This window comes from Homo sapiens, chromosome 3, assembly GCF_000001405.40.
Source record: "Homo sapiens chromosome 3, GRCh38.p14 Primary Assembly".
Classification (NCBI taxonomy): Eukaryota; Metazoa; Chordata; class Mammalia; order Primates; family Hominidae; genus Homo; species Homo sapiens.
In genome coordinates this window covers 89,957,817-89,970,018 of record NC_000003.12, presented here as the reverse complement: position 1 = coordinate 89,970,018, position 12,202 = coordinate 89,957,817, and the positions used below count along the sequence as shown (strand labels likewise).

At 39.6% G+C, this 12,202-nt stretch overlaps 2 annotated features.

Moving 5' to 3' along the window:
- Nucleotides 4,186–5,385: an enhancer, noted in NCBI's record as "MED14-independent group 3 enhancer chr3:90013784-90014983 (GRCh37/hg19 assembly coordinates)". NCBI's record gives its function as "activates an origin of replication core promoter dependent on BRD2, BRD4, P300/CBP and CDK7 cofactors, and independent of MED14, by STARR-seq in HCT116 cells {active_cell/tissue: HCT116}" and the evidence as "EXISTENCE:reporter gene assay evidence [ECO:0000049][PMID:35650434]".
- Nucleotides 11,333–11,932: an enhancer, noted in NCBI's record as "H3K27ac-H3K4me1 hESC enhancer chr3:90007237-90007836 (GRCh37/hg19 assembly coordinates)". NCBI's record gives its function as "activates a minimal SCP1, AML or CMV promoter by ChIP-STARR-seq in naive and primed H9 embryonic stem cells {active_cell/tissue: H9 hESC(naive and primed)}" and the evidence as "EXISTENCE:reporter gene assay evidence [ECO:0000049][PMID:30033119]".

Here is a 12,202-nt window from a genome sequence, read left to right as displayed (position 1 = left end):
ATGGAGCCGAAACAAAACATCTGTTTTTTGTTTAGTGACAACTTTTAAGGTGCAATTGGGAACAGGATTCATCCATCTTCAAGTTCACTCAACTTTTCCAAATTGGAGCTTACATACCAACGTGCCTGTGTTTCTATAAAATTGTTGTAATGTCAGCATGACTTTATGAAAATGTTTATTTTTTTCTCCTTTCCATATTGTATTTTACTACTGCGCGTCCAACAAAGATCAAACAAAATTGTAAAGTATATGTCTAGAGTGCATTTCTGTTGAAAGGAAAGGCTGGGATAAAATCAACCTGAAATAAACTTAAGTTTCTTAAAATATTTTATTCTCAAAGGTACATCAAATTTAGCTTAGGCTCATATTGTAGCTGAATCCTGTACAGAATCTGAATAAACAGATGATTTGCATTTGTCACACTAACATATGCCAATATTATTATGATAATCTATGAAACCTGAATTATTGAGAATTAACTGTGTGATCTCAAGAAGCAGCTCAATGAACTGATCAGGTTGTCTGTTCATTTGGAAGATTCAGGTAACATGTGCACATAGCCATGATAACTCAGTGAACAGTGTTGCCACTTGCTTGCCGCACACTTTCAATCCTTTATCCCTGCAAAAATATCTTCTAAATGATTATATTTGCCTTTTTTTAGAAAGCACCAACTATAGATACACTATGCATATTATTTTGGCTATCTCAGAGTAAGCAATTTAGAAAAAGTACAGCTTGCACACCATGGTACAGATGGAGGTAGTTGAGTTAAAAAAAAGCTACACTAAAATATGCTTATACCTATGTGATTACTACCTCATAAATAGAAGAATTACAATCCATTCACTTTAAATGTAATCCCAAATGAATAATTTACTAGGCTTCATGGAAAGTAAAACATGACAATAATATTTGTTCCCAGACCCTTAGCTATTTATACTGTATAATTAAAGTAAATGATTTGAACTTTATATTCTTGAGTATTCCTGAACCCTAATCAAAATCATGGGCATTTCAAAACATCATCTTTTTTTTTTTTTTTTTTTTTTTTTGAGACGGAGTCTCGCTCTGTCGCCCAGGCTGGAGTGCAGTGGCGCGATCTCGGCTCACTGCAAGCTCCGCCTCCCGGGTTCACGCCATTCTCCTGCCTCAGCCTCCTGAGTAGCTGGGACTACAGGCGCCCGCTACCATGCCTGGCTAATTTTTTGTATTTTTTAGTAGAGACGGGGTTTCACCGTGTTAGCCAGGATGGTCTCGATCTCCTGACCTTGTGATCCGCCCGCCTCGGCCTCCCAAAGTGCTGGGATTACAGGCGTGAGCCACCGCGCCCAGCCCAAAACATCATCTTTATCAAAACTTAGCACTGCATATTTTATGCAAGCATTCTGCCATTAATTTTACTAATACTTTTCTTTAGTCACAAGAAAAATATAGTAAAAACAAACAAAAAAAATCAATAGCTCACTGATATGGTTTGACTGTGTCCCCACCCAAATCTCACCTTCAAATTTAGTTCCCATAATCTCCACGTGTTATGGGAGGGACCTAGTGGGAGGTAATTGAATCATGGGGGTGGTTTTCCCCATGCTATTCTCTTGATAGTAAGTTCTCACTAGATCTGATAGTTTTATAAGGGGCTTCCTCTTTTGATCAGCTCTTATTCTTCTCTTTCCTGCTGCCTTGTGAAGAAGGACATGTTTGCTTCTCCTTCTGCTATGATTGTATAATAAGTTTCCTGAGGCCTTCCCAGCCCTGTAGAACTGTGACTTAATTAAGCCTCTTTCCTTTATAAATTACCCAGTCCTGTGTATGTCCTTATAGCAGCATGAGAATGGACTAATACTCTCATCATTGATCATCAAGTAAAACCATGTAGAATATCATTCTGTATTCTACATGTTTCTTCTAGGCAATTAGTTATTTAAGCCAGCACATTCACTAGCTGGGAGAGAGTTTCTTAGTCAGGAAATTTGCTTCCATTCTTTTCTGAATGTCTTGACTACTGATAGGAGTCATAGAGTGATATTGAAAGAATGATATAGAGCTAACATCAACCTTGGGGCACAAAGTTACCCTTGGATTTATTGATTTGAAGTTTATTTATTGCTGTCTTCATTTGGAGAGCTAGAAAATTTTCTTCTATGCTAAACTCTTTTGTTTTGTAGAAGGCTTCTCTTCCCTGCTTTTCCCTTTCCTTTCATTGCCTTCCTTTTCCATTTTCTCTCTGTCTGTCACACACACACACATCCCTCACTCACACACACAAGGCTTCCTCTTACACTATAAAAATATCCTTCTAGATTATTTCACCATTGTTACAGAGTCTATCTTCCAAATCTGAATGGATGAGTTTATGATGGTGAGGTGGACGTTTATGTTAAAGCCATTAAAATGAAAATGTTGCGAACAGACGTTTCTTTGAGCAACAGGAAATGAGCCAGATTGTGATTGGATTTGAAGTTTATATTATTTCCAGGGATAAGGAGACTCTGATGAGTACAAACTGATGTGACTGCAGGTTTCCTTGTCAATTCTTCACATCCGTGAGTTATGAAGCTTTATTCTGACAGTGGAAAATTAATTCACTCTGCTGTCTTGATTGCTTTCCCACAGTGCTTCCACCATGACTCTGTGCACCAAGAAGAGTGAGAGTGGTTTTTCTTCCTGGTGGGTTGGCCCAGTCCCCATGAGGATGAGGAATCTGAGATGGGGAAGGCTAGTCAGAAGAGAAACATTTCTCGTTACTTCAGTAGTCAATGGCAAAATTTAAGGTGAGAGATTTATCCATATAGAGATGTGGTGGGTTTTGCTTGCTTTATCCAGCATAAGAGAGAGAGAGTCTAAGCAGTTTCTGAACATTTTCTTGCTAGTTAAAGTTTAAGTTAAAGTCATTTCCTTCTTATAGAGGCCAGTGGAAACATTTATGATAGGAAGTCTTGGGCCCACAGCCCAGTGTGAGATGTAGTACAGAAATATTTTCCAGTGTTTGGTGTATTTGGTGGTCATGAAACAAACACTGGGGTGCAATCCTGATTTCAAAATGAAATGCCTGGGAAGGTGAGATTTCTTTATTAACTCTAAATAATGTACTGTTATTCTCATACTCAGGAAGATTACAAAGGACTTAGGCTCACCAGGATCTAGGAATAGCTATGAAGAAAAAGCACAGATTGTTTGGGAGTAATGGTTCTCACAGCTTATAATTTCTGAAAGTTTTGATTGTTTTGATAAATTTGACAATAGTTTATAAGTGTCATACACATAATAAGTAATTAAAGAATTTTATTGTCTTTTGAAAGCTTTGTAATATAATTAAAGTGTCCTTTCCACTCCCCTGCTGTATAACATGAAGAGTCTTGATCTGGGGCTGATTGTTGATTCAAAATAAAACCATTAAGATCTGGAGGTGGTGGTGCATGCCTGCAGCCCCACCTACTCTGGAGGCTGAGGCAGGAGAACTGCTTAAGCCTAGGAGTTCAGTGTGTGCGTGTGTGTGTGTGTGTGTGTGTATTTCCCATCTAATTCCCTTTAATGGGGGAGGTAAGGGAAAGTCCCTTTCCTAGAATCTGGGCACTTAACCTGAAATAATTAATTCCAGTCACATAATTTCATAGAAGTCTCAGATTACCTTAAAATTTTACAGTTTTGCATTCTTTTGTGTTATATGTCTCAACTGATTTTTGATTAAAAATGATTACTTATTACCAGAAGATCAACTAAATTTTCTTACTTGATCATTGACTTTTTTCAATTACCCAATCACTTTCTATGGATATGTACGTATATGGATGTGTTGTACATGCATGTGCTGTATACACATGCATACACATACATATACATACACATAGCATGAGATACATATTTTTATCTTTAATCACTAGTCTTTCACAAAAAATACACATTTGTTTCATGTAAGAAATAATTGTGTTTCTTTTAGACAGATTTTATTTTAAAAACAATGGCAAGGTATCAGCAGGTCTTAAGAAGAGTTATGCTATCAGACATGCTGAATGGAAAATGAGTTGAACATGGATAAGGGGAGAAACAGGGATACCAGCTAGGAGGCAATTGCCAAAGTTCAAGTAAGAGAAAGAGTAAACTGGACTAAGATGCTATAGAGTTCAGACAGAGAGAAATGAGCAAGTTATACTCTCAATATGAAGCCAGTTTGACTTACTGATGAGTTGGATGTGGGATTTAGGGAAAGAGAGGAATCACAGATGACTCCTTGGATTTTGGTGTGAGCACTTGCATAGGTTGGGGTGTTATTATCATACCCTAGAGCTCAAGGTCTTTCTTTGGCTCTTAGATAACTAGAAATTAACACCAGGCCAAATAGAAGTTTTTCTCCAGTGAGGTTTTAATATCCTTGTGTCTCAGATAGCACGAAGGGACAGCATACAGGAAAGAGATCTTGATGCTAGCTCCCTGAGTGCCTTGGCTCTTGGCTCCTGTCACTTCAAGGAAACTGAGACAGAAAAACGTAAAACGCAGGTACGACTGGGTGGGGCTTTTCCTGTGCCTGCACGTTGAGGCCTCACATACTAACAGGCATCCCATGTACACAAAATGGCAGGTAAGCCCTACTCTGGGAAGAGATTTTAGTATTATATCGAGATTTTAATGAGGAAAAAGTCTTTGAAAACTACAGGAGTCCATCTTGTCACCAGCCAGCTGTATCTGGTCAGATTCTTATCAGGAATGTTAGAGTCCTGGTTCAGCAACCTTGGAAGACATAAATAAAGGAGATAAATGGCTAAGTTCTTCCTTTTATGGCTAGGAATTTGGTCTGGTCTGCTAAATTAGGAAGGTCCCCACCCTCTGTTATGTGAAGTGGGTCAGTTTCTTCAGGGAGACAAGAAGGTAAGGGAGGGAATATGTCCAGACATGTTAGGCCCATTGGGATTTTGGTTACCATGTCTCTTGTCTGCCAGGACCAAGTCTCTTTCTTATATTGTCTTAGGGCCATTTACTGGGAAAAGCACGGAAGAAATGGCTTAAGACGGAGGTAAAAAAGAACCTTGTTTTTGCTGCTAAACTTGAGGTGTCTATTTTAAATTTTAAATTAAAATCATTAAGTAACAGCTAGATATATGTGTGGACCTTGGTGTAGAGATAGGGACTTAAGATATGATTTTACCAGTCATCTATATTTACATTATATTTAAAACTACAGTAGTGGGTGAGATATGTATAGAGAAGAGAAAAAGTATAAGACACAACCTAGGGAGTATGTGTAAGTACAGAAAACTATAAGACCAAGTTCTTGGCCATTCTAACATTTAAGTTGGAAAAAAAGAGTTAACACACAAGACTGGGAAGGAACACTTAATATGTCAGAAAACAAACCAGGAAAGTATGATTTCCCAGAAGCCTAGAGAGAAGTTTTGAAGAAGTAACAATCAACTGTGAAAATATAACAGTGAATCATTTGAGAAATATGAGCACATAAACACATTTAACTGATTTTGCAAGATGGAGGTCATTGTTAACTGGGATAAGAATGTTGGGGTTCAGGAGAGTGTGGGAGGGGAAGAAGTACACTAAGTACTTGCAACTAGTTTAGAAACTTAACAGACAAATGAGCCAGTAAAGGAAGAGAAATATGTGGTCCAAAGAAGGATTTCTAACATGGGAAATAATGGAGGCTGCTTTCTTCCTGATGAGAGTGATTCTGCAGAAAGAAAATAATGATACAGGCAGGAGCTGGTGACTGCATGAAAGTCATTAGATGAGTAATTAGTGTTGGGAACATGAATTCTTGTCTTATTATTTTCATTTTCTCAATTAATTAAAAGGTGATATTATCCACTAATGAGAGAAAGCAGGGATGTTGGGGTTTTGAGGAGAGAGATATGAAGTAGTCTGAATAGGAAAAAAAAGGAAAATTAAATTAATAGAGAAATGTATTTCTGGTAGGAATGCTAGGTATGCTGATAGAACCTTGGCATTCTGGATATAATGGTCAGGGTTTCAAGGATTTTAGGATATATTAGATCATTTTGAAAAACTATGAATTTGAGCTACATACTAAAGATATATTTTTTTAAATTAATGATTAAAAAAGAAACTGTTCTTTTAAATTACCACTACAAAGAAAGCCTAGTGTTGAGGTTGAAAATCAAGCAAATCTCCAGTAGTCTAAATGATTGATAGTTCTTTTTTTTTTTTTTTTTATACTTTAAGTTTTAGGGTACATGTGCACATTGTGCAGGTTAGTTACATATGTATACATGTGCCATGCTGGTGCACTGCACCCACTAACTCATCATCTAGCATTAGGTATATCTCCCAGTGCTATCCCTCCCCCCTCCCCCCACCCCACCACAGTCCCCAGAGTGTGATATTCCCCTTCCTGTGTCCATGTGATCTCATTGTTCAGTTCCCACCTATGAGTGAGAATATGCAGTGTTTGGTTTTCTGTTCTTGCGATAGTTTACTGAGAATGATGATTTCCAATTTCATCCATGTCCCTACAAAGGACATGAACTCATCATTTTTTATGGCTGCATAGATATTCCATGGTGTATATGTGCCACATTTTCTTAATCCAGTCTATCATTGTTGGACATTTGGGTTGGTTCCAAGTCTTTGCTATTGTGAATAATGCCGCAATAAACATACGTGTGCATGTGTCTTTATAGCAGCATGATTTATAGTCATTTGGGTATATACCCAGTAATGGGATGGCTGGGTCAAATGGTATTTCTAGTTCTACATCCCTGAGGAATCGCCACACTGACTTCCACAATGCTTGAACTAGTTTACAGTCCCACTAACAGTGTCAAAGTGTTCCTATTTCTCCACATCCTCTCCAGCACCTGTTGTTTCCTGACTTTTTAATGATTGCCATTCTAACTGGTGTGAGATGGTATCTCATAGTGGTTTTGATTTGCATTTCTCTGATGGCCAGTGACGATGAGCATTTTTTCATGTGTTTTTTGGCTACATAAATGTCTTCTTTTGAGAAGTGTCTGTTCATGTCCTTCGCCCACTTTTTGATGGGGTTGTTTGTTTTTTTCCTGTAAATTTGTTTGAGTTCATTGTAGATTCTGGATATTAGCCCTTTGTCAGATGAGTAGGTTGCAAAAATTTTCTCGCATCTTGTAGGTTGCCTGTTCACTCTGATGGTAGCTTCTTTTGCTGTGCAGAAGCTCTTTAGTTTAATTAGATCCCGTTTGTCAATTTTGGCTTCTGTTGCCATTGCTTTTGGTGTTTTGGACATGAAGTCCTTGCCCATGCCTATGTCCTGAATGGTAATGTCTAGGTTTTCTTCTAGGGTTTTTATGGTTTTAGGTCTAACGTTTAAATCTTTAATCAATCTTGAATTGATTTTTGTATAAGGTGTAAGGAAGGGATCCAGTTTCAGCTTCCTACATATGGCTAGCCAGTTTTCCCAGCACCATTTATTAAATAGGGAATCCTTTCCCCATTGCTTGTTTTTCTCAGGTTTGTCAAAGATCAGAAAGTTGTAGGTATGCGGCGTTATTTCTGAGGGCTCTATTCTGTTCCATTGATTTATAACTCTGGTTTGGTACCAGTACCATGCTGTTTTGGTTATTGTAGCCTTGTAGTATAGTTTGAAGTCAGGTAGCGTGATGACTCCAGCTTTGTTCTTTTGGCTTAGGATTTACTTGGCAATGCGGGCTCTTTTTTGGTTCCATATGAACTTTAAAGTAGTTTTTTCCAATTCTGTGAAGAAAGTCATTGGTAGCTTGATGGGGATGGCATTGAATCTGTAAATTACCTTGGGCAGTATGGTCATTTTCATGATATTGATTCTTCCTACCCATGAGCATGGAATGTTCTTCCATTTGTTTGTATCCTCTTTTATTTCCTTGAGCAGTGGTTTGTAGTTCTCCTTGAAGAGGTCCTTCACATCCCTTGTAAGTTGGATTCCTAGGTATTTTATTCTCTTTGAAGCAATTGTGAATGGGAGTTCACTCATGATTTGGCTCTCTGTTTGTCTGTTGTTGGTGTATAAGAATGCTTGTGATTTTTGTACATTGATTTTGTATCCTGAGACTTTGCTGAAGTTGCTTATCAGCTTAAGGAGATTTTGGGCTGAGACAATGGGGTTTTCTAGATATACAATCATGTCATCTGCAAACAGGGACAATTTGACTTCCTCTTTTCCTAATTGAATACCCTTTATTTCCTTCTCCTGCCTAATTGCCCTGGCCAGAACTTCCAACACTATGTTGAATAGGAGTGGTGAGAGAGGGCAACCCTGTCTTGTGCCAGTTTTCAAAGGGAATGCTTCCAGTTTTTGCCCATTCAGTATGATATTGGCTGTGGGTTTGTCATAGATAGCTCTTATTATTTTGAAATACGTCCCATCAATACCTAATTTATTGAGAGTTTTTAGCATGAAGGGTTTTTGAATTTTGTCAAAGGCTTTTTCTGCATCTATTGAGATTGTCATGTGGTTTTTGTCTTTGGCTCTGTTTATATGCTGGATTACATTTATTGATTTGCGTATATTGAACCAACCTTGCATCCCAGGGATGAAGCCCACTTGATCATGGTGGATAAGCTTTTTGGTGTGCTTCTGGATTCAGTTTGCCAGTATTTTATTGAGGATTTTTGCATCAATGTTCATCAAGGATATTGGTCTAAAATTATCTTTTTTGGTTGTGTCTCTGCCCGGCTTTGGTATCAGAATGATGCTGGCCTCATAAAATGAGTTAGGGAGGATTCCCTCTTTTTCTATTGATTGGAATAGCTTCAGAAGGAATGGTACCAGTTCCTCCTTGTACCTCTGGTAGAATTCGGCTGTGAATCCATCTGGTCCTGGACTCTTTTTGGTTGGTAAACTATTGATTATTGCCACAATTTCAGATCCTGTTATTGGTCTATTCAGAGATTCTACTTCTTCCTGGTTTAGTCTTGGGAGAGTGTATGTGTCGAGGAATTTATCCATTTCTTCTAGATTTTCTAGTTTATTTGTGTAGAGGTGTTTGTAGTATTCTCTGATGGTAGTTTGTATTTCTGTGGGATCGGTGGTGATATCCCCTTTATCATTTTTTATTGCATCTATTTGATTCTTCTCTCTTTTTTTCTTTATTAGTCTTGCTAGCGGTCTATCAATTTTGTTGATTCTTTCAAAAAACCAGCTCCTGGATTCATTGATTTTTTGAAGGGTTTTTGTGCCTCTATTTCCTTCAGTTCTGCTCTGATTTTAGTTATTTCTTGCCTTCTGCTAGCTTTTGAATGTGTTTGCTCTTGCTTTTCTAGTTCTTTTAATTGTGATGTTAGGGTGTCAATTTTGGATCTTTCCTGCTTTCTCTTGTGGGCATTTAGTGCTATAAATTGCCCTCTACACACTGCTTTGAATGCGTCTCAGAGATTCTGGTATGTTGTGTCTTTGTTCTTGTTGGTTTCAAAGAACATCTTTATTTCTGCCTTCATTTCGTTATGTACCCAGTAGTCATTCAGGAGCAGGTTGTTCAGTTTCCATGTAGTTGAGCGGCTTTGAGTGGGATTCTTAATCCTGAGTTCTAGTTTGATTGCACTGTGGTCTGAGAGATAGTTTGTTATAATTTCTGTTCTTTTACATTTGCTGAGGAGAGCTTTACTTCCAACTATGTGGTCAATTTTGGAATAGGTGTGGTGTGGTGCTGAAAAAAATGTATATTCTGTTGAATTGGGGTGGAGAGTTCTGTAGATGTCTGTTAGGTCCACTTGGTACAGAGCTGAGTTCAATTCCTGGGTATCCTTGTTGACTTTCTGTCTCGTTGATCTGTCTAATGTTGACAGTGGGGTGTTAAAGTCTCCCATTATTAATGTGTGGGAGTCTAAGTCTCTTTGTAGGTCACTCAGGACTTGCTTTATGAATCTGGGTGCTCCTGTATTGGGTGCATATATATTTAGGATAGTTAGCTCTTCTTGTTGAATTGATCCCTTTACCATTATGTAATGGCCTTCTTTGTCTCTTTTGATCTTTGTTGGTTTAAAGTCTGTTTTTTCAGAGACTAGGATTGCAACTCCTGCCTTTTTTTGTTTTCCATTTGCTTGGTAGATCTTCCTCCATCCTTTTATTTTGAGCCTATGTGTGTCTCTGCACGTGAGATGGGTTTCCTGAATACAGCACACTGATGGATCTTGACTCTTTATCCAATTTGCCAGTCTGTGTCTTTTAATTGGAGAATTTAGTCCATTGACATTTAAAGTTAATATTTTTATGTGTGAATTTGATCCTGTCATGATGTTAGTTGGTGATTTTGCTCGTTAGTTGATGCAGTTTCTTCCTAGTCTCGATGGTCTTTACATTTTGGCATGATTTTGCAGCGGCTGGTACCAGTTGTTCCTTTCCATGTTTAGCGCTTCCTTCAGGAGCTCTTTTAGGGCAGGCCTGGTGGTGACAAAATTTCTCAGCATTTGCTTGTCTGTAAAGTATTTTATTTCTCCTTCACTTATGAAGCTTAGTTTGGCTGGATATGAAATTCTGGGTTGAGAATTCTTTTCTTTAAGAATGTTGAATATTGGCCCACACTCTCTTCTGGCTTGTAGGGTTTCTGCCGAGAGATCCGCTGTTAGTCTGATGGGCTTCCCTTTGAGGGTAAGTCGACCTTACTTTCTGGCTGCCCTTAACATTTTTTCCTCATTTCAACTTTGGTGAATCTGACAATTATGTGTCTTGGAGTTGCTCTTCTCGAGGAGTATCTTTGTGGCGTTCTCTGTATTTCCTGAATCTGAACGTTGGCCTGCCTTGCTAGATTGGGGAAGTTCTCCTGGATAATATCCTGCAGAGTGTTTTCCAACTTGGTTCCATTCTCCCCATCACTTTCAGGTACACCAATCAGACGTACATTTGGTCTTTTCACATAGTCCCATATTTCCTGGAGGCTTTGCTCATTTCTTTTTATTCTTTTTTCTCTAAACTTCCCTTCTCGCTTCATTTCATTCATTTCATCTTCCATTGCTGATACCCTTTCTTCCAGTTGATCACATCGGCTCCTGAGGCTTCTGCATTCTTCACGTAGTTCTCGAGCCTTGGTTTTCAGCTCCATCAGCTCCTTTAAGCACTTCTCTGTATTGGTTATTCTAGTTATACATTCGTCTAAATTTTTTTCAAAGTTTTCAACTTCTTTGCCTTTGGTTTGAATGTCCTCCCATAGCTCAGAGTAATTTGATCGTCTGAAGCCTTCTTCTCTCAGCTCGTCAAAGTCATTCTCCATCCAGCTTTGTTCCGTTGCTGGTGAGGAACTGCGTTCCTTTGGAGGAGGAGAGACGCTCTGCGTTTTAGAGTTTCCATTTTTTCTGTTCTGTTTTTTCCCCGTCTTTGTGGTTTTATCTACTTTTGGTCTTTGATGATGGTGATGTACAGATGGGTTTTTGGTGTGGATGTCCTTTCTGTTTGTTCATTTTCCTTCTAACAGACAGGACCCTCAGCTGCAGGTCTGTTGGAATACCCTGCCGTGTGAGATGTCAGTGTTTCCCTGCTGGGGGGTGCCTCCCAGTTAGGCTGCTCGGGGGTCAGGGGTCAGGGACCCACTTGAGGAGGCAGTCTGCCGGTTCTCAGATCTCCAACTGCGTGCTGGGAGAACCACTGCTCTCTTCAAAGCTGTCAGACAGGGACATTTAAGTCTGCAGAGGTTACTGCTGTCTTTTTGTTTGTCTGTGCCCTGCCCCCAGTGGTGGAGCCTACAGTGGCAGGCAGGCCTCCTTGAGCTGTGGTGGGCTCCACCCAGTTCGAGCTTCCTGGTTGCTTTGTTTACCTAAGCAAGCCTGGGCAATGGCGGGCGCCCCTCCCCCAGCCTCGCTGCTGCCTTGCAGTTTGATCTCGGACTGCTGTGCTAGCAATGAGTGAGATTCCGTGGGTGTAGGACCCTCTGAGCCAGGTGTGGGATATAGTCTCGTGATGCGCTGTTTTTTAAGCCGGTCTGAAAAGCGCAATATTTGGGTGGGAGTGACCTGATTTCCAGGTGCGTCTGTCACCCCTTTCTTTGACTCGGAAAGGGAACTCCCTGACCCCTTGCGCTTCCCAGGTGAGGCAATGCCTGGCCCTGCTTCAGCTCGCACATGGTGCGCGCACCCACTGGCCTGCGCCCACTGTCTGGCACTCCCTAGTGAGATGAACCCGGTACCTCAGATGGAAATGCAGAAATCACCCGTCTTCTGCGTCGCTCACGCTGGGAGCTGTAGAACCTGCTCCTATTCGGCCATCTTGGCTCCTCCCCTGATTGATAGTTCTTAT